The sequence below is a fragment of the Homo sapiens genome, chromosome 5 (assembly GCF_000001405.40).
Source record: "Homo sapiens chromosome 5, GRCh38.p14 Primary Assembly".
Taxonomy (NCBI): Eukaryota; Metazoa; Chordata; class Mammalia; order Primates; family Hominidae; genus Homo; species Homo sapiens.
In genome coordinates, this window is record NC_000005.10 from 150654698 (window position 1) to 150681182 (window position 26485).

General features: G+C 50.2%; 2 protein-coding genes and 1 long non-coding RNA gene across 20 annotated transcripts in view, besides 2 other annotated features; 2 read left to right on the forward strand and 1 right to left on the reverse strand.

Annotated features, from left to right (window-relative positions):
* SYNPO (synaptopodin) overlaps window positions 1-4510 on the forward strand; it is a 73198-nt gene extending 68688 nt beyond the window's left edge. For all 10 annotated transcript variants that reach the window (XM_047416688.1, XM_047416689.1, XM_047416687.1 and 7 more), the window contains one exon: window positions 1707-4510. In XM_047416688.1, the coding sequence (XP_047272644.1) occupies window positions 1707-2390 (684 nt within the window). In that variant the 3' untranslated portion in view covers window positions 2391-4510. The remainder of the gene's footprint in view (window positions 1-1706) is intronic.
* Window positions 1685-1904: a silencer, noted in NCBI's record as "silent region_16515". NCBI's record gives its function as "represses an Ori minimal core promoter by ATAC-STARR-seq in GM12878 lymphoblastoid cells {active_cell/tissue: GM12878}" and the evidence as "EXISTENCE:reporter gene assay evidence [ECO:0000049][PMID:35858748]".
* Window positions 2045-2104: a silencer, noted in NCBI's record as "silent region_16516". NCBI's record gives its function as "represses an Ori minimal core promoter by ATAC-STARR-seq in GM12878 lymphoblastoid cells {active_cell/tissue: GM12878}" and the evidence as "EXISTENCE:reporter gene assay evidence [ECO:0000049][PMID:35858748]".
* On the forward strand, window positions 6172-24671 carry MYOZ3 (myozenin 3). 2 transcript variants are annotated; one of them, NM_133371.5, is made up of 7 exons: window positions 6172-6382; window positions 8244-8305; window positions 15787-15941; window positions 16900-16953; window positions 17058-17211; window positions 17643-17805; window positions 22010-24671. In NM_133371.5, the coding sequence occupies exons 2-7, from the start codon at window positions 8245-8247 to the stop codon at window positions 22176-22178; spliced, it is 756 nt and encodes a 251-aa protein (NP_588612.2). In that variant the 5' UTR covers window positions 6172-6382; window position 8244; the 3' UTR covers window positions 22179-24671. The 2 variants fall into 2 exon arrangements, with proteins under 2 accessions (NP_588612.2, NP_001116325.1); NM_001122853.3 differs by lacking the exon at window positions 6172-6382 and adding an exon at window positions 6554-6730.
* MYOZ3-AS1 (MYOZ3 antisense RNA 1) lies at window positions 10817-17772 on the reverse strand. Of its 8 annotated transcripts, NR_186482.1 has the most exons (6): window positions 17419-17772; window positions 15831-16110; window positions 15453-15512; window positions 13689-13901; window positions 13420-13572; window positions 10817-11334 (listed from the first exon to the last, which is right to left on the reverse strand). It is a non-coding gene; the product is annotated as an MYOZ3 antisense RNA 1 (long non-coding RNA). The 8 variants fall into 8 exon arrangements; NR_186480.1 differs by lacking the exon at window positions 13689-13901; NR_186481.1 differs by lacking the exon at window positions 13689-13901 and having other exon boundaries at window positions 13420-13575.

A 26485-nucleotide genomic window follows, 5' to 3' on the forward strand; every position in this document is an offset into this window, starting at 1 on the left:
CCGACTTCCTTTTGTATCTCCATCTGTCAGGGGCATCTTCCTCCCTGTTCAGGCATCCAAGGAAAGATGATGAGGTGACCATGGCAACATGGCAAATGGTTTGGGGCTGAGAGGGTCTTTCCCTAAGTCCAACTTTAATAATAGTCGGCCAGGCGCGGTGGCTCACGCCTGTAATCCCAGCACTTTGGGAGGCTGAGGCGGGCGGATCACCTGAGGTCAGGAGTTCGAGACCAGCCTGACCAACATGGAGAAACCCCGTCTCTACTAAAAATACAAAATTAGCCAGGTGTAGTGGCAGGCACCTGTAATCCCAGCTACTCGGGAGGCTGAGGCAGGAGAATCACTTGAACCCAGGAGGCAGAAGTTGCGGTGAGCTGAGATTGTGCCATTGCACTCCAGCCTGAGCAACAAGAGCGAAACTCCATCTTAAAAAATAATAATGGTCAATATTTTTACATTTTAATTTTGATAATAGATAATACATTCATATGGTTCAGAAATCTAAACTTATATAAAAAGTAATATATTAAAAAGCCTTATTCCCATCTCCCTGCCCCAGCCTACTCTCTTGGCTGAAGAGCCAGGTTCCCCTGCCTCAATAGTTGCTGACTGGCTTGGGTCATGAGCTCTAGGCCCCACCTCCCTGCTCAGGGTGACACTGTGGTCAGATGAGAGGACACACAGAGCCCACCCTGACTTGGCATTTGGCCCTGAGACACTAGTCTCAGCCTCTATCTAGTTCTTCCCATGTGGCCCTGGGCCCGGGACCTCCCTCCCAGCTCCTCTCCCTAAGTCATGGGGAAACCGAAGCCTCCCTCAGCTAGCCTGACTGAAAGCTTCCCGGGATGTGCCACAGACAGAGCAGCTCCCAGTGCCTCAGACTGTGTGCCCTGTTCCTGTTCTCACCCCATTTCCTAACAGGTGACCATTTTGGTTAGTTTCATGTATATCCTTCTAGTATTTTTTTTAAATTGAGACAGAGTCTCGCTGTGTTGCCCAGGCTGGAGTGCGGTGGCACGATGTCGGCTCACTGCAACCTCCGCCTCTGAGGTTCAAGCGATCCTCCTGCCTCAGCCCCCGCAGTAGCTGGGACTACAGGCACGCGCCACCGTGCCACTAATTTTTGTATTTTTAGTAGAGACAGGGTTTCTGCATGTTGGCCAGGCTGGTCTCGAACTCCTGACCTCAGGTGATCCACCCGCCTCGGCCTCCCAAAGTGCTGGGACTACAGGCGCGGGCCACCGCGCCAAGCCCTTCTGGTATTTCTTTATGGTAATCAACATCTATTGAGCACTTTCTTCCAAGGAATGTGCCGATATATGTAATGTTCTTTTCCATCAGTTATCTCATTTAACCCTCACAACAACCCTATAAGGTTAAGTACTGTTATCACACCCCATTTTACAGAAGCAGAAACTGAAGCCCAGAGGGGTGAAGTAACTTGCCCAAGCTCAGTTAGTAAGTTAAGGCGGCTCTCTCCAAAGCGAGTCTTCTTAACACGGAGGCAGACACAAGACAGCGGGGACTCTTCAGGCGTTCCGGGCTGAGAGTTTGGGCGCCTGCGTTTTATTGCAGGCACTACCTGACTTGGATCGGTGGCTTCCCTTCTCGGTGTAATGGACAAATCGGACTCCGTCCCTTCCTAAAGCCCGGTGTGGAAGACCTCAGCACTAATGCCTGCCCCACCCTCTCTGCTCTCTCCCCAGGACCGCCGGGAGAGCCTGCCCACCTCCCCACCCTGGACGCCGGGCGCGTCCCGGCCCCCCAGCAGCCTAGACGGCTGGGTGAGCCCGGGCCCGTGGGAGCCAGGTCGCGGGAGCAGCATGAGCAGCCCCCCGCCGCTGCCGCCGCCACCGCCCATGTCTCCCTCGTGGAGCGAGCGCTCGGTGTCCCCGCTGCGACCTGAGACCGAGGCGCGGCCCCCCAGCCGCCAGCTGCAGGCGCTTCTGGCGCGAAACATCATCAATGCGGCCCGGCGCAAGAGCGCCTCCCCGCGGTCGGCGGGCGCCGAGAACCCGCGGCCCTTCTCCCCGCCGAGGGCGCCACCGCCCCCGCCCCCGCCCCCGCCCCCGCCCCCGCGCATGCGCTCGCCACAGCCCGCCCGCCCCGGCTCGGCTGCTGTGCCGGGGGCAGCCTTCGCGCCCATCCCGCGGAGCCCGTTGCCCGCCGGTCCTTCGTCCTGCACCAGTCCCCGGAGCCCGCTGCCCGCGCCTCCCAGGCCCTTCCTCTACCGCCGCTCGCCCACGGACTCCGACGTGTCCCTCGACTCCGAGGACTCCGGGGCTAAGTCTCCAGGCATCCTGGGCTACAATATCTGTCCCCGCGGGTGGAATGGCAGCCTTCGGCTCAAGCGTGGCAGCCTCCCCGCCGAGGCCTCCTGCACCACCTAGAGCCCCACCCCCGACCCCACCCCGGGAGGGCAGAGCCAGAAGAAGGCTCATTAGACCTGGGGGACCCAAAGGGTCTGGCCTCTTTGGGCAGCCCCAGAGATGAGGGGTCAGCAGAGGAGAGCTCTGGGGTTGGGGATGGGTTAGGGACGCAAGCTTGAGTTCTAGCCCTTGCTCTCATTCAGCTGTTGTGTGACCCTGGGTAAGACCCTTCCTTGTTTGACCCTCAGCTTTCCCATCTGTTTAATGGTGGCTTTGGCCAAGGCAATCCACAAACGTCAAAATTCCCCTTCCCATCAGTACACACACCGATGCACACACACTCTCTCTTTCTCTCTCTCTCTCTCTCACACACACACACACACACACACACACACACACACACACACACACTAGTTAGTGCCTTGGATGAGGCGGGGCAGTGTGTATATGGACCCCTGGACTTGCTACCTTCAGGGTTCCATACTCGTCCCTCCCCTCCTGGCTCTGCTGTCTGGAGTCTGGCAAGCGGGGTGTGTTCAGAAGGTCCTAGGCCTGTGTCGCATGTCCAGGCACTGGCCTGACCATCCGGCTCCCTGGCACCAAGTCCCAGGCAGGAGCAGCTGTTTTCCATCCCTTCCCAGACAAGCTCTATTTTTATCACAATGACCTTTAGAGAGGTCTCCCAGGCCAGCTCAAGGTGTCCCACTATCCCCTCTGGAGGGAAGAGGCAGGAAAATTCTCCCCGGGTCCCTGTCATGCTACTTTCTCCATCCCAGTTCAGACTGTCCAGGACATCTTATCTGCAGCCATAAGAGAATTATAAGGCAGTGATTTCCCTTAGGCCCAGGACTTGGGCCTCCAGCTCATCTGTTCCTTCTGGGCCCATTCATGGCAGGTTCTGGGCTCAAAGCTGAACTGGGGAGAGAAGAGATACAGAGCTACCATGTGACTTTACCTGATTGCCCTCAGTTTGGGGTTGCTTATTGGGAAAGAGAGAGACAAAGAGTTACTTGTTACGGGAAATATGAAAAGCATGGCCAGGATGCATAGAGGAGATTCTAGCAGGGGACAGGATTGGCTCAGATGACCCCTGAGGGCTCTTCCAGTCTTGAAATGCATTCCATGATATTAGGAAGTCGGGGGTGGGTGGTGGTGGTGGGCTAGTTGGGCTTGAATTTAGGGGCCGATGAGCTTGGGTACGTGAGCAGGGTGTTAAGTTAGGGTCTGCCTGTATTTCTGGTCCCCTTGGAAATGTCCCCTTCTTCAGTGTCAGACCTCAGTCCCAGTGTCCATATCGTGCCCAGAAAAGTAGACATTATCCTGCCCCATCCCTTCCCCAGTGCACTCTGACCTAGCTAGTGCCTGGTGCCCAGTGACCTGGGGGAGCCTGGCTGCAGGCCCTCACTGGTTCCCTAAACCTTGGTGGCTGTGATTCAGGTCCCCAGGGGGGACTCAGGGAGGAATATGGCTGAGTTCTGTAGTTTCCAGAGTTGGCTGGTAGAGCCTTCTAGAGGTTCAGAATATTAGCTTCAGGATCAGCTGGGGGTATGGAATTGGCTGAGGATCAAACGTATGTAGGTGAAAGGATACCAGGATGTTGCTAAAGGTGAGGGACAGTTTGGGTTTGGGACTTACCGGGGTGATGTTAGATCTGGAACCCCCAAGTGAGGCTGGAGGGAGTTAAGGTCAGTATGGAAGATAGGGTTGGGACAGGGTGCTTTGGAATGAAAGAGTGACCTTAGAGGGCTCCTTGGGCCTCAGGAATGCTCCTGCTGCTGTGAAGATGAGAAGGTGCTCTTACTCAGTTAATGATGAGTGACTATATTTACCAAAGCCCCTACCTGCTGCTGGGTCCCTTGTAGCACAGGAGACTGGGGCTAAGGGCCCCTCCCAGGGAAGGGACACCATCAGGCCTCTGGCTGAGGCAGTAGCATAGAGGATCCATTTCTACCTGCATTTCCCAGAGGACTAGCAGGAGGCAGCCTTGAGAAACCGGCAGTTCCCAAGCCAGCGCCTGGCTGTTCTCTCATTGTCACTGCCCTCTCCCCAACCTCTCCTCTAACCCACTAGAGATTGCCTGTGTCCTGCCTCTTGCCTCTTGTAGAATGCAGCTCTGGCCCTCAATAAATGCTTCCTGCATTCTTCTGCCTCCTGTGTCATTTTCAGCTGTGTCTGATGTCCTTCCCTTCTCCCCAAGCATGGAGCAGTCCATGGGACTCTGGGTGGCTGGGAATATTTGAGACATATGGGATGGGAGCTTGGGAAGAAGCAGCCATGGGGAGAGATGGGAACAACGGACAACTTGAGGCCATAGAAGTACCTGGACTGCAGTCCTGGTCCTGTCATGGACGAGCGGGGTGACCCTGGGTGAGCCCACTCCTTCTCTAGGCCTCAGCTTCCCCATCCGTATAATGGGGAGAGTGGGTCTAGGTAATGTCTCAGGGTGGTATTGTCCAGGCCCTGACCACAGAGCACTATCACCAGAGTGGGCAGGGCCAAGCTGGGTCAGGGCTCTGTGCTCTGAGGCTGTTTCCTCATGGCAGGTGGGGGTGCCAGGGCAGGAAAGGCGCCACTGTAAGAGGTCCCGTCTGAGCCAGGCAGCCCCAGTGAGGCAAGGACTCGGGCCATGAGGCATCCTCTCCTGGCAGGAGTGTCCTTTGGCCAGAGAAGGGGATTGTGATCCTGCTCCCAGGTGAGGCTAAGCTTGCCCTGGGAACACACCTCACTCTTCCTCTCTAGAAGCTCAGGCCCACCGAGGGCCAGGAAGCTAAGGTCAGGGTGGTGGACAGCAGAATCTAGGCTTCTGATTTGAGAGGTGTCAGAAATACACCCCAGGATAGTCTGCCAGCACACAGACACCGGTGGTCCCCACCCTGCACCCAGCCCATCCTTGCTAGGCCCACCCTTCCCCAGGAGTGTGTGCCTTGGACCCAATCTTTATCTTCGGCTGGGGCCTCACTGCAGCACAGTGTCCCATTGCCTACTGGTGATCTCATCCCAGTCCCCCGACACCTCAAAGTTCATCCAAAACTGACCTCAGTGTCTGCCCCCACCCCTCCTGCTCCTCCCCTTCCAGTCACCCAAGCATGAAACAGGGGAGTGGGACTCCCTTTCCTCACCTTCCACATCCAGTTCCTCACCAAGACCCAAGGGTTCTTCAAATAACCCTCAACTCCCTCTCCTCTCCATCTCCTTGTCACTGCCCTGATCCAGCCACCCCTGGTGACAGTCAGGTCCTCCTGCCTCCAGTCTGGCCCCCTCCAACCCATTTCCCACATGGCAGCAAAGATATCTTTGGAAAATGCCAATCCGATCACTCCATTTCACCACTTTAATCTTGTCAGCAACCCTTTATAAACACAGTTTCCTTTTGAAAGCCTGCTGGGATCTGGCCGCTGCCCCCACTGTCTGGGCTAATCTCTCAGCACTGCCCCCAGCTCCGGCTCTACTTGCCAACCCCCTACCCATCTTTGTAGGTGACATGTCCACTGCCTGCCATGCCCCTTCTCTGCCCAGTGAACTCCCACTCATCCTTCAAGGCCCAACTCCAGTGTGTCCTCCTCTGGGAAGCCTTCTCACCCCCCACCCCAGGCTGAGCTGGTAACTCCCTCCCCTGGGCTCTCCCAGAGCCTTCCCCAAAGCTTGTTTACCCGTCTGAATCTGACCTGGCTGAGCTCCTTGAAGACAGAGCCCTGCCTTATTTATTTTCAGTCCTTAGAGAGAGGCTCAGGGAATGTGAGAAGGTAGAGGGAGGGAGGGAGGGAGGGAGGAGGGGAGAAAAGAAGGCAGGCAGGAAGGAGGCAGAAGAAGAAAGGCAGGAGAGAAGAAAGGAAGGAAGAAAAGGATAAGTCAAGCAAAGATATTGAGGAGCAATTCATTCATCCATCTATCTATCCATCCATTCCTTCCTTCGACAAATATCTGCTGAGTTCCTATCAAGCACCATTCTTGGCACTAAGGATATAACAGTTAACAAGCGGAAGCTACCAGCAGCTGACCCTCAACATTTCCAGGTGACTTTGGTGTGTGCATATGTGAGTGTGTGTGTACACGTGGGTGCAAGCCCTCTGTCTGCACAGGCCTGTTGCCAGGGCACCTGTCTTCCCTAGGGTCTGGTGCTTTTAGCCTCTGGCTCCAGCTCCTATTGCAGCCCGAAATAAGGCTGTGACCCATGGCAAGGCAGGAATGATTCTCATCAGCTGAAGCCAGAGCTGGCTGCAGGGGACACCCTGCTCGCTGCCTACTGACTGCTGACCGCTGACTGCCTACAGGGACGCCACGCAACTCTCAGCTTCCCGACAGAGGTGTTAATCTTGAGGGTCTAAGATTCCCTCCTGCCTATTGTGGTCCCATCCTCTCAGGTACCAGCATCCTAGGGGAGCTTGGGGAACTCAGGGGAGTGGGCAGAGGAGGTGAGCCAATCCCCAGAGCTCCTTCCCCCGGAGAGGAAGGGCCCTGCAGTGGATCTAGGGAGTTTGGGGCCCCATGCAAGCCTCGATCCTGGTTTGGGAGGAGAGGAACTCTAAGCTCTAGGTTACCCTGCATTAAATGGGGAGGGTGTGGCTAGGATTAAAGGTGGGGAATAGGTAATGGCTCTGCTCAGGACTTTGGGATTTTTAGGCAGTAGAGGGAAGCAGCTTCTCTGTAAAATGAGAGACCCTTCCCAGCATCTGTGAATTTCTGTAAAGGGAGTGTTTATCAAGAAACAGATCTGTGGACTGTGGAATCCTAAACGGTTGTGATCGAGGCATTCTCAATCATCCCATGACCCTCACCCCAAATGCATGTAGACACACTCATGTTTACGTATAGTTTTAGGGGGTTTGTGAACACCCTAAAGCCCATCCATGGATCTCTGTGATTTAGCCTAACCCCCTACTGTTACAGATGGGGGAACTGAGGTGCAGAGCTGGAAAGCTACTTGTTCGCAGTTACAGAGAAAGCCAGGGACACCCACTAGACTCCAGTTGCACAATGCAGTGCCCACTGACTCCCAGGGCCCCTTGTCGGTGTTGGGGATACAGATGAAGGCAGATTGTTTTCTAAAGGAAGGAGTATAGGAAAACCTGGAGGCAAAGGAGAAGGGTACCCAGGTGGGTGGTCAGTCGAGGAGCTCAAGGGCTCTGCCTCTTCTCCAGAGGGCAAGTTAAGGTACCTGGGCAAGTTAAGGGCTCTGGACCTCATTTTATTTGCAAATCTCTTCCAAGATTCTTTGAAAGTGCCATGAGATACAAATAGGGGGATGGAACAGGAGGAAGAGAAGGGACGAGGGAGAAGAGAACACCACGGAAGTTAGCCCAGTAGCGGGGAGATGGGGAGGACGGGGGATGGTTCTCTCTGCTTGGTTGGACCAGCCTGTGCCCTCAAGCGTCAGGGCCAAGTGCCAAGGATGAAAGGGGCTCACCAGCCTTGCAGACCCCAGTGTAACCCCAACCTAGTCCATCCTCCCCCTTCCCCTAACTTAAACCTCCAACTTCTTTCAGCCTTGGACTAGGACTCTCCTGGGTCAACCGATGACAGTAGTGCCTGAGACCTTTGCCTGCCCCACCCGGATGCCCCTGGCACCTACTCTCCCTCTGATCAGGATGCCAGAGCTGGGAAAAGGCCCTAGAAACCACCCCTGAAGAGACAGTGCTTCCCTAGCAACATGAAAATAGATTCGTGCAAACTTGAGCACCTCCCTCTCGTTCCCTGGGCCTCAGTCTCCTCTGCACGGAGACCCTGAAGTCCCTTCCAGCTCAGACATCCCTTGCTTGTGATTTGGGGCTGGCCTAAAGCTGTTCAGGACTGGGGCAGGGTGAACCAGAGACTGGAAGGAGGTCTGGGGAGAAATGGAGGCAGCCTGGTCCATTTATGGGGGTCTCTCCTCCACAGGATGATCCCCAAGGAGCAGAAGGGGCCAGTGATGGCTGCCATGGGGGACCTCACTGAACCAGGTAAGGTGGTTCTAGCCTCATGCCTTCCTCAGACTCCATCATTTCCTTGCTCCCAGGCTGCACTCACTCTGGCCTGCTGGCCCCAGGCCTGGGCAGACAGGTGTGAGCTCCAGGCCAGCTCTGAGGGAGTGCCTGTAGAATTTGCTGCCTAGGCTGGGAAGCTTCCCTGAGGCACTGGGAGGGGTCTTGCCCATCTGTCCACAGACCCAGGAGCTGAGGCTGAGTGTCCCAGGCTGGGCCTTGGCTCTAAAATGACCCTGGCCCTGGCTTCATCTAAGGCCTCACCTCAGCCCCAAATTAAGCTCTGAAGACTCTGGTCCCAACTCCAGCCCTACCTGTGGCTGCAAGCTCTGCACACACTTGCCTTTGCCTATTACTCCTGTGGGTCTCACCGAGGCCTCTGGGTGGCCCAGGATGGCTGGGCCCCATGGCTAAGAGAGGGGAGTGGAGAGAGTGGAGTAGGGTGGGAAGACAGGGGAGTCGAGAGAGTGGAGCAGGGTGGGAAGAGCAGGCTGCCCATTTGAATACAAAACTTTCTACTTAAAGCTGATTCATCAAATGAGTAAATCATTTTTATCATTTCATTAAAAAAGTTTAAATTCATTTTTATCAATTTTAGAAGACCTCTTGAGGAACTCTTGATACAATTTTGGAATCTGTTTATTTGGTCTACTTTAGAGGATTTCAGGTATTTTAAAAATTAATTTAGGGGCTGGACACAGAGGCTGATGCCTTTAATCCCAGCACTTTGGGAGGCTGAGGTGGAAGAATTGCTTGAGCCCAGGAGTTTGAGACCAGCCGGGGCAACATGGTGAGACTCCATCTCTACAAAAAAAAAAAATTAGCCAGGCATGGTGGCACATGCCTGTGGTCCCAGCTACTCAGGAGGCTGAGGCAAGAGGATCGTTTGAGCCTAGGAGTTGGAGGCTATAGTGAGCTACGGTTGTGCCACTGCACTCCAGCCTGGGTGACAGAGGGAGACTCTGTCTCTAAAAAAAAAAAAAAAGAAAAAGAAAAAAATTAATTCAACTAAGTCAGAGTTCTCAAGCTTTATTGTGAATCATAATGATTTGATGTTGGTTAAGCATACAGAGTCCCAGCATCTACTCCTGAGGATTCTGACTCAGGGGACCTAAGTTAGGACTTGTGCATTTGCCTTCAGCGTGCTAAGGAGTCAGTCATATTTCATGACTTCATATGTGGCATCCTTTTAACCTATTTTGTGTGCTCTTGCCTCCTTTTGTTGATGTCCAGTTTCTTCCCCTACCCTGATTTTGTAGCTGAAATATGCACATTCTATGGGTACTGACGCTCTAACTAGAAGGGTCAGGCAATGCATTCTCTTTTCTCTTGGGGAGTTCATTACAGACCCCCAAATATGGAGACACATCATTGATACAAGACTTGAAATATATAACTTGTTGATTATTGCTAAGGTACTGACTAAAGACAATTTTGAAACAAAAGTAGGAAGAAAAAATAAATCTCATAATCTCACTACCTAAAGACGGCCACTGTAAAGTAAAAGTTATAAAAATGTTTACCATCATTGCATGCTTACTATGTGGCAGATACTTTGCTAAGAGAAAAGTATCCTTTATGCTTTGTGTCATTTCATCCCCACCACAACTCCCTAAGTTAGATATTCTCCTCATTTTGGAAATGAGAATATTGAGGCTCAGAGGAGCAGGTGATCACATCTGGTAGGTGGTAGAGCTGCAATTTGACTCCAGGTCTCTTTGTCTTCAGAGCTGTTTCTTTATTACATGGTTACAATGATAATACATCACTTTTTAAAAAAAAAATTCACTTGCCATTGACTTGGCATACATTAAAAAAATTTGTTTAATTCAGACAAAACAGACATGAACGGCTTTGAAAGTTCATCATAATGGAACCATCTGGAGATAACCACTGTTAACATATTTATGTAAATTCTTGTTCTGTTCATATATGAATGTCTTTATATAAACATACATACACATGGGCTAAATACTATATGCTATGTTCTTTGGCTTTTTTTTTTTTTCATTTAGCAGCATTCCATCCTAGTATGATTTATCTCACGCCTTCCTTCCCCGTGCTTACCAGCTTTCTGCTGTTTGGACACGTCATGTGTGTTTAACCATCCCCTGATGAGGGTTGTCTGGGGTGAGATCCTTCGGGGCAGAACAGAGGAGCCTTGTGCAAGTGACTTATTGAGAACGTGCTCTCGGAAGGGAAGGAGGAATGCAGCCTAGGGTGGGGTACTGCTGAGCGAGGATGTGGGCTCAGCGGCTGTCCAGTTCAGTGTGACCCCGCGGGGAGCTCTCGAGCATGAATTGCTCCACAGAATTCATCCCACCTGAGGCAAGGGCGCTGTGGAGCATCCATTCCACTGGCAGTTCTCTGTAGAAGGTGGTGGTGTGAACTCTTAGCCACTAATAAGGGGCATCTGGCAGCATCCACCACGAGACTGAGTCCCAGTTTTCACAATTTTAAACCCCACTGCAATAAACATTCTTATACATGTATCTTTGGACATATTTATTCAACTTTTTCCCCGAGAATAAATTCCTAGAAATAGAAATACTCAGTCAAATAGATTTTATCTTTTTTTATTTTTTAATAGAGACAGGGTCTTGCTATATTGCCCAGGCTGGTCTTGAACTCCTGGGCCCAAGCAATCCACCCACTTTGCCCTCTGCAAGTGCTGGGATTATAGTTGTGAGCCACTGTGCCTGCCATTTTTTTTTTTTAAATATTGAGCTCAGCTGGGGGAGGTGGCTCACGCCTGTAATCCCAGCACTTTGGGAGACTGAGGCAAGCGGATGACCTGAGGTTGGGAGCTCGAGACCAGCCTGACCAACATGGAGAAACCCCATCTCTACTATAAATACAAAATTAGCCAGGCGTGATGGTGCATGCCTGCAATTCCAGCTACTCGGGAGGCTGAGGCAGGAGAATCGCTTGAACCCGGGAGGCAGAGGTTGCAGTGAGCCGAGATCATGCCATTGCACTCCAGCCTGGGCAACAAGAGTGAAACTCGTCTAAAAAAAAAAAAAAAAAAAGAACAATATTGAGCTCAGCTCATCTGTATAGTATTTCAGAATATGATACTGAGGGTGCTTTATTATGTATTTAGGTATAACTATTCTTTTATATTTTTAAGTAGGCAGTACACTTTCTTGTTAAAAACAGTTACAACAAAACAGTGTAAACAATTTCCAACCCTCCTCCTTTATATGTCCCATGGTCACTGCTGTGGTGACATGTCTCCTTGGCATGTCTCCTTGCAGATTTTTCAATGCATGCAAAAACACATACTTATTTTTTAATATAGAAATGGGGGCCGGGCGCGGTGGCTCACACCTGTAATCCCAACACTTTGGGAGGCTGAGGCGGGCAGATCACTTGTGGTCAGGAGTTTGGGACCAGCCTGGCCAACATGGTGAAACCCCATCTCTGCTAAAAATACAAAAATTAGCCGTGCGTGGTGGCTCATGCCCATAGTCCCAGTTACTTGCGAGACTGAGGCAGGAGAATCACTAGAACCCAGGAGGCAGAGGTTGCAGTGAGCCGAGATTGCACCACTGCACTCTAGCCTGGGCAACAGAGCAAGACTCTGTCTCAAAAAAAAAAAAAAAAAATATATATATATATATATACACACACATATATATAAAATATAGTTATATAATATATAATATAAATGGGATCTTAGAATACCTATTCTTCTGAATCTTACTTTCCCCTCCAATTAATTTATACTGGATTTCTTTTTTTCTTTTTTTTTTGAGACAGCATCTCACTCTTTTGCCCAGACTGGAGCACAGTGACATGATCTCAGCTCATTGCAAACTTCACCTCCACCTTCAAGTGATTCTTGTGCCTCAGCCTCCCAAGTAGCTGAATTACAGGCACACGCCACCATGCCTGGCTAATTTTTGTATTCTTAGTAGAGAAGGGGTTTTGCCATGTTGGCCAGGTTGGTCTTGAACTCCTGACCTCAAGTGATCCACCCTCCTCTGCCTCCCAAAGTGCTGGGATTATGGGTGTGAGCCACTGCGCCCGGCCTATAAGTGGATTTCTTTCTGTTCTTAGCACATAAAAAGTGTCCTTTATGTGTCCGTTGAAAGAATAAAAAAAAATCAGTGTCCTTTTTAGACAGCTATTTAGGATTCCATTGACTGGCATGAATCACAGCACCCAAGTGACCCCCAGTACTGCCTGGTAGCCATGTCCATCTCCCTAGTTCATTCACTATCTCATGCTACTCTCTTAATGACTTTGGCAACCCCTCTTCTCAAACCTCCAATACCTCCTTGCACAACCTCATTCTCAGCTAAAGACCTTGCTTCTTATTCCACTGAGAAAAATAGAGTAACCAGAAGAGAACATCTGCAAGCATCCTCCGCCACATCTGTCTACTTGCTTGCATCTGCACCCGTGTTTGTGGTTTTCCTTTCTGATATGGTGGATGGACTCTCCTCATACCTGCCTGGTGCCAATTCCTCTGGCTGGGCTCTGGAAACCCAGCTCTCCTGTCACTCCTGCTCAAGGACATTCCTTCAGCAATTCTCCCCTCTCTCTATTGCATTGTCAAATGTTCCCGTCAGTTAACGCACATGCTGTTATTTCTCCATTTTTACAAACAAACAAACAAACCCCTCTTGATCCCATAGCTGTCTGTAGCCAGGATCCTTTAAAGCCCAACTCTTCCAAGCAGTTGTCTATATTGTTCTTACCAATCCTCTCTTTCTCTCTTTTTGACATTTTATTAGTCAATTTCCAAAGACACATACAAGTAGGGAGTACATGGTCCCTCCTTCATTCCTAAATTTCAAAGCTAATACCAAAAAGCATGTCATTTCACCCCGCAAATTCTTCAGAATGCATCAAAATAATAAAAGGGCATTTCCTTACATGCCACAAAGATATTAGCATACTGAACAAAATTTGCAGTAATGATTTGATACCATTTAATAAGCGGTCTGTATTCAACCTTCTTCAGTTTTCTAGTTTGTTTTCATCAGCATCCAAACAAGGGCCACAGTTTTTATTTGGTTGCTATGGCTCCTAAATCTCCTTTAATCTAAAGCAACCCCTCTGCCCCTTTTTTCCATGTCACTCACTTGTTTGAAAAACCAGGCCAGTTGTCCTGTAGAATGTCCTGCGTCCTGGATTTGGCTTATCGCTTCCTCATGGTGTGGTTAAACTTGTTCTTCTGTCCATTTTCTCTTGAACCCTCTCCAGTTAGGCTTTCACACCCAAACACTCCATAGAAACTGCTTTAGTGAAAATTACCAATGACCTTGTATTGCTAAATATAATAGTGGATTTTCAGCCCTCATCTTCCTTGACACATCAGCAGCACTTGGCTCTGTTAGTCTCTCTATCATACCTGAAATGCTTTCATCATTTATTTCCAGGATGCCATCCTCTTTAGTTTCTTCCTATGTTGTGGGCTGCTCCTGCCCAGGCTCCTGGCTTGGTTCCTCCTCACCGCCTCACTGTAAATGTTGGAGGCCCCAGGCTCCGTCTCTGATCCTCTTTACCTATTCTCATTTCTTTATGATCTCATCCAGCCTCCCAGCTTAAAATACCATTTATGGAGCTGGAATATGAACGTATGTGTATCTGATTTTAGAGATGGACTAGGCAGGCCGTGCTGCCCACACAGGGCTCTCACCTGCCAAGGTCCTCACCATTCTGTCCCCTCTGTCCTGCAAAAGGCTTCCTTTGTTGGCCAAACGTGAAAGTTTGAATTTGGCTGGTAGGAAACGCACAAAGGATAGGGATGGGTCTCAAACTACTAAGAACAGCCATCACCCTGAAAATCCTCTAAATAGCTGTAAAGACTAGTTCCAACTATGAGAAAAGAAATAAATGTAACGTTCTTCATTGAAAAACAACAACAAATACCAGTAAATACCAGTAAAAGCTCATGATGCCCAACATTTCACCTCCAGGTCAGTTTTCTCCAGATTCACACATCTATCTCCCTCCTCAGCACCACTACTTAGATGCCTACAAGTCTCCTCAAACTTAGTGTGCCCAGTTTTGGAGACAATTAGCAGAGTTTGGATATGGACTAGATATTAGGTAAAACAAAAATTTGTTCACTTGGAAATGTGGAGATCTTTAACTTGTAAAGATCTTGATAAAACAAGTTACAGGCCGGGAGCGGTGGCTCACGCCTGTAATCCCAGCACTCTGGGAGCCCGAGGGGGGGTGGGGGGCGGATCACAAGGTCAGGAGTTTGAGACCAGCCTGGCCAACATGTTGAAACCCCATCTCTACTAAAAATACAAAAATTAGCTGGGCGTGGTGGTGCGCACCTGTAATCCAGCTACTCACGAGCCTAAGGCAGGAGAATTGCTTGAACCCGGGAGGCGGAGGTTGCAGCGAGCCGAGATTGTGCCATTGCACTCCAGCCTGGGTGACATCTCAAAAAAAAAAAAATTACAAAACATGTATGCTATAATTTTATTTTGGTTAAAACCTCATAGGAATATAGTCATTGAAAAAGATATGAAAGGACATACACTAAGGTGTTAATAGTGGCAGTCTCTGGGTGATAGATAATGGTATTTTTCTCTTTTTTGTCTGATATCTGTATTGTCCAACTTTCCTCAGGGCCCATATATGCTTTTTTTTTTTTTTTTTTTTTTTTTTTTTTTTGATGGAAAATCACTCTGTCACCCAGGCTGGAGTGCAGCAATGCAATCTCGGCTTACTGCAACCTCCACCTCCTGGGTTCAAGTGATTCTCCTGCCTCAGCCTCCAGAGTGGCTGGGATTACAGGCATGCGCCACCTACGCCCAGCTAATTTTTCTACTTTTAGTAGAGATGGGTTTTTGCCATGTTGGTCAGGCTGGTCTCGAACCCTTGACCTCAGGTGATGCGCCTGCTTTGGCTTCCCAAAGTGCTGGGATTACAGGCGTGAGCCACCGCGCCTGGCCCATATATGCTTTTTTATAATAATAAAAGGCTATTTTAAAGTTAAAAGAACACAGGTCTAAAACTGAACTCCTGATCTTTCCCAGAACCTTCTCCTCCCTTTGCCTTCCCCATCTCCGTGAATGGCTGCTCTATCCTTCCAGTGGCTAAGGCCAGAAACCTTGCAGTCATCCTCTCTCACTCATTGCCCATACCCATGGCTTACCTTTAAAAAATATCGAGAATCTGACCATTTCTCACTACCTCCACCATTATGGGCAAAGACCTGCATGGGGAATTCATGCAATAAACACAAATGGCCAAAGAACTTCGGAAACAGTGCTAAACTTCACTGAGCAACAAACACATGCAAATTAAACTCTGAGGTGTCATTTTTGCCCATCAGGTGGGCAAAGATTTCAAACAATCATGACACCCGGTGTCGGCAAGCTTGGTGAGAAACAGGCATTCTTACACACAGCATGCCATGCTTCGAGAGGTGGGGCCTGGAGTGTATGGGGGATGGGGTGGTGAGAGCCCGCTCTGGCCTTTCCTGGCAGTCCCTACGCTGGACCTGGGCAAGAAGCTGAGCGTGCCCCAGGACCTGATGATGGAGGAGCTGTCACTACGCAACAACAGAGGGTCCCTCCTCTTCCAGAAGAGGCAGCGCCGTGTGCAGAAGTTCACTTTCGAGTTAGCAGCCAGCCAGCGGGCGGTGAGTAAGCCACCATTGTGCTCATGGGGAAAATGAGGACCACAGAGAGCCACTGGTTAGCCTAAAGTCAAACGGTAAGCCAGGCTGAGGACTGTGATGTTCCCATCAGATTAGGCTCCTGCCTTTCAGTGTGATCCTTGAAAAGTGTTATCTTTTTAGGCATCTCTCCCTGGATACAGAACAAAGTAAACAAAGTGGATTAGGGGGTTGAGGATAAGCCGTGGAGTGAAGGGACTCTGGCTCCTACCAAAAAAAAAAAAAAAAAAAAAAAGCTAAGACAGGCATGCACTCTAGGCTAAATTTGCAGCAGGCTGGATCTAGTTTAGACTTGGGCCTGATCTAAGATGGAAAATGTAGAATGCCCTTTTTTCTTCTTCCCACCGGAGAAAGGAAAGGCCATGGAATAATCTGCTGGTGGAGAAGAAAGGCAAGAAGGGTTTTTCCCTTGGCTTCAGAAAGGCAGCAGGCAGTTCCAGATACTTCTAAGGAAGCCAGGGCTATTCCATCCACCCTCCACTTAATTTCTGGGCTAGACAGGAGGCAACTGAGAGGGAGTGATGTGGCAGAAAAATAAAGATGGCAAAACACCCGCCTTTGCTATGTGCCTAAGACAATGCTAGCTAAGCACTTTGCAGGTATCTCATTTAATGCTCATAGACCCCTCTGAGGAAGAGATCTTCATCACCATCATCCTCATTCTATCGAGAAGGACATTGAGGCTCAGGGAAATTAAGTATCTTGCCCGGACTCGGCATTACAATAGCAATTAACATATATCGAGTATTTCTCGGTCCCAGGCACTGGGTTTAGCGTTGTAAACTAGTAACTCATCCTTGTTCCCCGATGATGGGCGTTAGGATTCTTGCCTCCCCCCGACCTTTTTTTTTGGTGGAGGGAGAACCCTGGTCCCCTGCCCCGCTGAGCTTCTCTGCGGTTTATTCTACCCCCTCGTTCCCAGATGCTGGCCGGAAGCGCCAGGAGGAAGGTGACTGGAACAGCGGAGTCGGGGACGGTGAGCGTGGAGGGGAGCTCCCTGGAAGGGAAGCTGGGGGAAGGGGAGCGCGGCTGGGGGCGGGAGGTCGTCGGTGGCCTCTGAGAACCCGCCCCTGTGCCCAGGTTGCCAATGCCAATGGCCCTGAGGGGCCGAACTACCGCTCGGAGCTCCACATCTTCCCGGCCTCACCCGGGGCCTCACTCGGGGGTCCCGAGGGCGCCCACCCTGCAGCCGCCCCTGCTGGGTGCGTCCCCAGCCCCAGCGCCCTGGCGCCAGGTGAGTGGCCTCCTCGGGTCCCGGGACCAGGGCTGGGGGGCCTGAAGCATGGGTGTGCTCCCCATGGGGCAGGAAGAGCACCCAGAAGGCTAGTCCGCCCCCTTCCCCAACACACACGCGCACGCGCGCACTCCCCTCGCCAGACCACGAGCCGGAGGGGCGCCGCGCCCCAGGTCACACAGCGAGTCAGCCAAGGCCAAGACCAACCCGCGCTGCGAACTCGTGGCTTCCTCACTGCAGTCCTCCGTGTTTCCTGGGATGGGGAGGGGTCTCCTGTGCTGGAGCAACTGTGGCTTCCCATTCCCGCCGTCCTCTCCCCTAACTCCGATCTTCCCTCCTCCAACCGCGTCCGCGGAATGGGGGTGGGGCGAGGTGGGGTTGGGGGCTGAGGGTGGAAGAACGGAGGCGCTCCCTTCCCCCCGCGCCCCTAGGCTATGCGGAGCCGCTGAAGGGCGTCCCGCCAGAGAAGTTCAACCACACCGCCATCTCCAAGGGCTACCGCTGCCCTTGGCAGGAGTTCGTCAGCTACCGGGACTACCAGAGCGATGGCCGAAGTCACACCCCCAGCCCCAACGACTACCGAAATTTCAACAAGTAAGGCGGGGCGGGCAGCCCGGGGGACAGACCGGGAGGGGCGGGAAGCCAGTCACAGCCACAGCGGGAGCCTGCGTTTCCTGAGCACTTTCTGCAGGCCAGGCTCTGTCCCCAGCGCTTTCTATTCATTGACTGAGCTCTGGCTGGAACAGCGCCTCCGCACCTGGTAGGTGCTCAGTTAACGTGGGAGAAATGAAGAGTGAAGGTGCCGCACATCTTGGATATTCTCCAGGACATGGTGGGCGGGTGCTATGAGTTTTCCTGTTCTGCAGATGAAGAGGCTGCGGCTCAGGAATATGAACAACCCGGCCAAAGCCACAAAACAAGGAAGCACCGGCAGGGCCGGGATTCAGGTCTGGGTTTGTCTGACTCCAGAGCCCAGTGCCTTGTTCTCCATGGCTGCTGTGTGCTACCTCTTTGATGAACATCTAGATTTGTGTCCTTCTCTGAGGGGTCCCCAGATTTCAGCAGTTCGAGGCCAGCTCAGCTTTTCCTTTCACCAATGGCCTAGAAGAGGCCAACAAGGTAGCTTTGAGGCTGCCCCAAAGTGGAGAGTGGCAGTGAAACATTGGACGCCAGAGTGAGGGCCACAGCGCAGTGGCCTATATGGGTTTAGAGCGTGAGGCCTCCACGTGGACTTGAATGCAGACCCCAGGCCTGCCCGTGTTGACCTTGGGCAAGTGACTTAACCTCTCTGAGCCTCCATTGCCCCACCTGTAAAATGAGGGGTTTATAGTACCTGCTTCATAAAGTTGCTATGGAGATGACACGAGAAGCCATAGGTAAAGTTTCTGGCAAGTAAGACACTTGCAACAAACAATAGCTATTATTGTTGTTGTTGTTATTATTATTATTTGAGACGGAGTCTCACACTGTCACCCGGGCTGGAGTGCAATGGCGCAATCTCAGCTCACTGCAACCTCTTCCTCCTGGGTTCAAGCGATTCTCCTGCCTTAGCCTCCCTAGTAGCTGGGATTACAGGCGCCCACCACCGTGCCCGGCTAATTTTTTGTATTTTTAGTAGAGACAGGGTTTCACTATGTTGGCCGGGCTGGTCTCGAACTCCTGAACTCGTGATCCACCCGCCTTTGCCTCCCAAAGTGCTGGGATTACAGGCATGAGCCACCGCCCCCGGCGTATTATGATTATTATTTACAGCTGAGATGAAGTTTGGACAGGGGAGAGCTTGAAAGGGATACATTTACCATTCTGCACTGAGGGCCTGAAAACAAACCATAGGAATCAAGACAGGAGCTTGGCACTGGGGGAAGGCCTTGGGCTGAGGAGTGCATGTTAACTGCATTGGCTTCCTTGGTCTGGTGCTATTTTTGAATATGCTCCTCTGGTTTGGGCTGCATTTAGTGAGGAAAAGGGGAGTCCACAGAGAGGACGCCACGGTCCTGCTCTTCTGGCATTTGCTCAGACCACACGTGGAGACTGGGTCTGTCTAAGACAGACGGGTGGGCGCCAGAGCCTAGCTAGGCCTGGAAAATCAGCACATATGAGGAAGGGCTGAAGGAACTGGGGGTGATCTGCCTTGAGAAGAGACAGCTCCAGAGGGATGTGACTGCCCTCAAATATCTGAATAGGCAGAGACTTCCTGATGGGAAGAATTGGGCTTAGCATGCGCTGTGTGAGTCACGAGCCATTAACAGACATTCTGGAGTTCCCTGGCAGGCAGGACTGCCCTATCTCCTCCTGGGCCCTCAGACCCTGCCTGCCCAGTCATTTGAAACCTGCAGCAGACATTCAGTCCTGGCAGGCAGCTTCCAGGCTGGGCCACTCAGGTTGCATCTCCCACTGATCTCATGCCTCATGTATGACAGCAAGGCACATTCCCACCAGCAGAAAGAGGCTCTTAGGGAGCCCTGCATCCAGACCTCTTCTGAGGGAGAAAGACCAACTGAGGCATAGAGAAGAGAAACAGCAGTTTGGGTGGCCAAGATGTGCTCAGCTTCCAGGGTCCTGGGCTCCCAGTCAAGGGCCTGACTGTGGGCCTTGCATGGCTTGGACACCACCCAGCCTGTTCCTGTGAGGCCTGGCTGTTGCCACCAAAACTGGGGTGGTCCAGGCAGAAATGCTTTCCTGGCTGGGACTCAGGCCCTGGCTCAAGGTTTGTCTTTCCACCCCAGAGGCAAGCACTCTCCTCTTCCCACTGGTCCCAGGCTGCTGGAAAAACAACACAAGCAATGATTTTTATTTTTCTTAAAATTAAGAAACAGTATTAAGGCCGGGCGCAGTGGCTCATGCCTGTAATCCCACTTTGGGAGGCCGAGGGAGGCGGATCACTTGAGGTCAGAAGTTCAAGACCAGCCTGGCCAACATGATGAAATCTCATTTCTACTAAAAATACAAAAATTAGCTGGGCTTCTTGGCACACACTTGTAATCCCAGCTACTCAGGAGGCTGAGGTGGGAGAATCGCTTGAACCTGGGAGGCGGAGGTTGCAGTGTGCCGAGATCCTTCTACTACACTCTAGCCTGAGTGACAGAGCAAGACCCTGTCTCAAAACAAAACAAAACAAAACAACAAAAAAAAGTATTATTAAAATCACATACATAGGTTCTCTTTTAAAAAATGTTAGGCAAATAAATGTAGAGCCCCTTTGCTCACCATCCTCCAATCCCAGTTGCCTTCCCAAAGGTAACATGGTTGTCAGGCTGGCCTGAATGGGCTCAGAACATTTTGTGTGGGCAGCTGCATGCCTGTAGGGGGAATGGCGTTTGTGTGTGTGTGGGGGTGTGTGTGTTAATACTTTGCACTTCATTCTGTTAACTTGCTTTTTTTACTCAACATTACGCTTTCGAAATCTACCATACTAATACGTAGAGCTCTAGTTCCTTTTAAGCTGCTGTATAGTTTTCTTTTTCTTTTTTTTTCGCGGGGTGGAGCAGAGTTTTGCTTTTGTGGCCCAGGCTGCAGTGCAATGACACAATCTCAGCTCACTGCAACCTCTGCCTCTCAGGTTCAAGCAATTCTTCTGCCTCAGCCTCCCAGGTAGCTGGAATTACAGTCACCCACCACCATGCCCATCTAATTTTTGTGTTTTTACTAGCGACGGGGTTTCACCATGTGGGCCAGGCTGGTCTCGAACTCCTGACCTCAGGTGATCGGCCCTCCTCGGCCTCCCAAAGTGTTGGGATTATAGCCGTGAGCCACCGTGCCCAGCCTGCTGTATAGCTTTCTATCGTGTGAGCATGCTCTATCTGTCTTGCCCATTTCTCTGCTAGTGGACACGTGGGTTGTTTCTGGTTTGTCACTAATGTGCTGCTCAGGTCTGCATCCCAGTGCCTACGCGCCTGTGCTTTCCTAAGCCATATGCTCAGAGGTGAAGATGCGGGGTGACATAGTTCACACATTTCAGGTTAGAAAGATCCTGCCAAATTGTCTTCTGCGGTAGCAGCACTGGCTTACCCTCTAACCAGCAGCATGTGTGAAACTTTTCCCCCGCCATCTCACCAACTTTGCCCAGTTACCACATTATTTCATCGTGCCAGTGTCCTGGAGGAGAAATGGCATATCTGTTGTAATCTGCATTTCCCCCCTGATTTTCAGTGCTCTTTCTAATGCTCTCTTCTCTCTCTAGTTTTGGGCCTTTTGTCCTAAGGGGAGCTTACTGAAGGGGAGTCTAGAGTCTTGCCTAGGACAAGTCAATTCTGACTCCATCGGCTTCACTTCTATTGCTAAGCAACGAACCACCCAAGTAGGCGCAGACTTGGAAATGGGCAAAGTTGAAAAAAACCTCTTAAGATGTACAGAATTGCTGGGTGCGGTGGCTCACGCCTGTAATCCCAGCACTTTGGGAGGCCGAGATGGGCGGATCATGAGGTCAGGAGTTTGAGACTAGCCTGGCCAACATGGTGAAACCCCGTCTCTACTAAAAATACAAAAATTAGCCGGGCATGGTGGCACGTGCCTGTAATCCCAGCTACTCAGGAGGCTGAGGCAGGAGAATTGATTGAATCTGGGAGGCGGAGGTTGCAGTGAGCTGAGATCACCCCACTGCGCTCCAACCTGGGTGACAGAGCGAGACTCTGTCTCAAAAAAAAAAAAAAAAAAAAGATGTACAGAATCTTGCTGTATAGAAGGGAAAACTGAGGCTCAGAGAGCGGCAGGGAGGGGCCCATACATGGTGATCCACATGTCAGTGTACTGCTGTCCCTGTTCCACACAGCCCACCTCTCCTGCTGCTCTCTTTCTCCAGGACCCCGGTGCCATTTGGAGGACCCCTCGTGGGGGGCACTTTTCCCAGGCCAGGCACCCCCTTCATCCCGGAGCCCCTCAGTGGCTTGGAACTCCTCCGTCTCAGACCCAGCTTCAACAGAGTGGCCCAGGGCTGGGTCCGTAACCTCCCAGAGTCCGAGGAGCTGTAGCCCTAGCCTGAATCTTCAGTTCCCCAGTCTCGGGGGCCTGGTAACATCCGGAGCCAAGACTTGTGGACAGCACTTCACAGTTGAAGAAGGGCCTTCACACACAAAACCTGATTGCAAATGGCTTCAGAGGTCACCAAGTTCAGTCGTCCCAAAACATGGGTGTGTTTCAAAATTACCTGGGGATGTTGTTCCAAATCCAGACAACTGGACTGTCCCAGACTTGCAGCATCAGAGTCTCCTGAGTCGAGGAATCTGTATTATTAATAGCAACCAGGGCCGGGTGTCGTGGCTCACGCCTGTCATCCCAGCACTTTGGGAGGCCGAGGCAGGAGGATCACCTGAGGTCAGGAGTTTGAGACCAGTCTGGCCAAAATAGTGGAACCCCGTCGCTACTAAAAATACAAAAATGAGTCGGACATGGTGGTGCATGCCTGTAATCCCAGCTACTTGGGAGGCTGAGACAGGAGAATCACTTGAACTAGGAGGCAGAGGTTGCAGTGAGCCGAGATTGCGCCACTGCACCCCAGCCTGGACAACAGAGTGAGACTCCTTCTCAAAAGTAAATAAATAAATAGCAACCAGTACTCCAGGTGATTCCAGCATAACTTATCCATGGTTTGTGTCATTAGGAGTCCACATCCACACCTCTGCTCTTTCCTGTTCCTGTAGTGTACACTCCCCCGGTGACAGGGTGCTCACTGGCACCCCATCTTCCTGTGAATAACTCAAATAATTAGAAAATGTTCCTTTTACTGAGATGCAGTTGGTCTTCATCTATTCATGCTCTAAACAGTTCCTAAGCGCTGACTGTGCGCTAGACACTGCCAGGCCCGGGCCTCGAGGAGGAAAAGACAGTAGGGAAGACATTATAGAGCATGAAGTCACCATAATTTTCCCTAAAGCATGCTTATTGACAATTGAGGAACAAAGTGTTGTGGAGCAGAAGAAGGAGTCCCTCACCCTAGGTGTGAGATGGGATTCTGGAAGCTTCCTGAAGGATTTGAGTGGGACCTTGTGGGAGGCGTGAGAGTCCATGAAGGGGGTGTGAGGGGGAGGGTATTTCTGGAAAGTGGACCAGCATGTGCAAAAATATGGAACTGAGCACGGGTGCAGGGTGTTCTGCAGAAGGGAGAAGGCTGTGCTAGAGGAGCCAGTGAGGGCCAGCATGGGGTGGGCTTCACTAAGGAAATGGGGAAGGTTTTAGTGATGGGTCTTGCTGGGTGCTGTGTGGGGCGCATATTGGAGAAGGGTAATGCCAGAAGCCAGGAAGCCTGCAAGGGATGAGGCCATGGGAATGGAGAGAAGGGGCCACCCACTGGGCACCTAACAGGACAGGTGCAAAGTGGGGTGCTTATTAAGATTCCTTCTTTCCACTCCATTTTGAGCAGGCTGCTTAAAGTGGTGGTGATGATGATGATGATGATGGCAGCTTTATATCGAGTGCCTCAGTGCTTGGGCTGGTAGTAGTTTCTCTACATATCTTATTTCTAATTCTCAGAACAACCCTGAGAGAAAGATATTGTTGTCCCCACTTTACAGATGTGGATATTTAGGCCAAAAGGAGGAAGTGACTTGTCCAGGGGCAGACACCAAATGGGAATCTGATTCCAGTGGATGTCTCTTTTCAGTGCACTGGGTGGTCAATGCCCACTCGCTCTGAAATCATCTGACTGTGATGCCCTGCCTTGGAGTTTAGAAGTTGAGTGCAGGCTTGGGAGTCAGACTGGATGGGGTAGGTTCTAACTCTGCCACTGCTAGCCGGATGAACTTGAGCAAGTCATTTCACATCTCCGAGCCTCTGTTTCTCCAAGTGTAAGATGAGGACAAGTATAAAACCTCCTTTATGGGTTTGTTGTGAACACAGTGCAGGGCACATTTATAATAAGAGCTCAGTCAATGGTAGGTTTCATGCAACTGCTGCTCTAGGCTGGAAAAGTTGTTCTTGCACTGGATGCAGCATGAGAAGCTGGCTGCTAAGATGTCACTGGGGGTCACTAAAGCTGAAGCCTGAAGGAAAGCCTCTCATTGCTGTAGAGCTCTCCCTGCCTCTCTCTCTGGGGGCGATGGGGAAGGTCAGGAGTCCAGCCCATTCCCAGGGTGTGTGGGATAGCGATTGCATTTTCCTTTTGCTCTGGAGTTTCACTCCCCTTCTGGGTCCCAAGGGCCCAATGGCCTGACTTTTAGAATTGCTTGCAATTGGTGTTTTCTCTTGAATTTGGGGGCTGCCATTTAAAGCCAGGTTTCCATGAGCTGAAGACCAGCCATTCAAGAATCTGAAAAGTAGACAAGAGGACTCCAGTTGCCTCAGGTTGGTTCTGCTGTGCTCTGGAAAGTAACTGCAGCCACCAGGTATGAAAAGGAGCCTGGTGGGGAGACCACTGCACCCAAAACAAATCCTTTCTTCTTCTGAGAATGTGACTTTTTCTGGTGTTGTAAAAAAGAAAAAAAAAAGAATGCTCATTGTAAAAATAAAAAAATAATAATAAGCAAGGAGTAAAATGTGAAGTGTCTGCCCACATAGTCCTCCCACATACATATGTACACCTTCCTACCTCTGCCATTCCTACACACCAGAGGTAACCACTGATGACAATTTGGTCCTTCTAGAATTGTAGAATTATTTGAATGGATAAATATGTGCATGTGTATATAGATGCATACCCACATAGGCATGTCTTTGTTTTAATGGAATCATACTATATGGATTGTTCTGTATCATGCTGCTTTATTTAAGAAGTAAAATTTGGATCCTGAAAAAGCAAATCACTCACCTTTCATGTAATTTGAGATTACATGGAATAAATTATAAGAAATCTTTCATATAGGCTGGGCGTGGTGGCTAACATCTGTAATCCCAGCACTTTGAGAGGCCAAGGTGGGCAGATCACTTGAGGTCAGGAGTTTGAGACCAGCCTGGCCAACATGGTGAAACCCCATCTCTACTAAAAATACAAGAATTAGCCAGGCATGGTGGTGTGTGCCTGTAATCCCAGCTACTCGGGAGGCTGAGGCATGAGAATCGCTTGAACCCAGGAGGCGGAGGTTGCAGTAAGCTGAGATTGCACCACTGCACTCAGCCTGAGCAACAGAGCAGGACTCCATCTCAAAATAAATAAATAAATAAGAAAAGAAATCCTTCATATAAAATTCTATATTTTTGCCTGTTTTTGTTCTTCCCATAAATTAAATCATACAGTGATATGGAAATGAAAAGGACTAAGAATAGCCAAAACGCAGAGAAACGTGGCATTAGACATAGCAACAACGAACTATAGTTTCATGCAACAATGTGGATGCATCTCAGGAACGTAATGGTAAGCAAAGGAAGGCAAATGTTTCCTGATGGAAGAAAATATTTAATATAAAAGTCAGAATAGTGGTAACTTTGGGAGTGGGGAGGGGTTTGTGAATGTGAAGGGACCCATCAAATGCTTCTAGGGTAGCTGGAAAAATTCTGTTTCTAGACCTGGGCGATTGTTACATAGATGTTCACTTTACAATATTTAAGTTAGTTGTACACCTGTGTGTTTTGCACTTTTCTGCACATGTACATATTTTATCAAAATAATCCCTCCTTTTAAAATGGGAATGAACAGGTTAATAGGACATGAGACATACCTGAAGAGAGAATTAGTGAGCTAAAAGTGCCCATAATGCATCTCAGAGAGTTAAAGAGATGGAAAATATGAGAGAGAAGTTAAAAGAGATGGAGAATAAAATGACAATGCCCAACACTACTAATGTTGACACTTTCCGGCAATAATGGAAAAATGTCTTCAAGGAGTGAGAGCACAATACATTGATTTTCAGACAAATAAGTATTAAGAGAGTTTTCTACTGACCCCTGAAAAAACAACAAAGAACATACTTCAGGAAGGACCCAGAAAGAAAGTATAGAATCTAAGCAGCACTAGTGAGCAGAGAAATGGTAAGCATGTGACTAAGTCCTAAAACATGATCAATCCAATAGATGACAGGAAGGATGAAGAAGAAACACAAGCACATAAAATAAAGCGGTATAATTACTTTCAAACATATCAGTTATCATAGTAACTGTAATATTTACATTTAGACAGTACTCACCAGTTTAAAGATAAAGACTTGTGGATTGGGCTGGGTGCGGTGGCTCACGCCTGTAATCCCAGCACTTTGGGAGACCAAGGCAGCAGATCACGAGGTCAGGAGATCGAGACCATCCTGGCTAACACGGTGAAACCATGTCTCTACTAAAAATACAAAAAATTAGCCGGGCGTGGTGGTGGGCGCTTGTGGTCCCAGCTACTCAGGAGGCTGAGGCAGGAGAACGG

What these genes read in the sequence shown, in the direction of transcription:
- MYOZ3 (NM_133371.5), top strand. Translation starts at nt 8,245, where the DNA reads ATGATCCCCAAGGAGCAGAAGGGGCCAGTGATGGCTGCCATGGGGGAC. An exon ending in GAACAGCGGAGTCGGGGACG is followed by an intron (nt 16,954 to 17,057) that starts GTGAGCGTGGAG and finishes CCCTGTGCCCAG; the next exon opens with GTTGCCAATGCCAATGGCCC. An exon ending in CCCCAGCGCCCTGGCGCCAG is followed by an intron (nt 17,212 to 17,642) that starts GTGAGTGGCCTC and finishes CCGCGCCCCTAG; the next exon opens with GCTATGCGGAGCCGCTGAAG.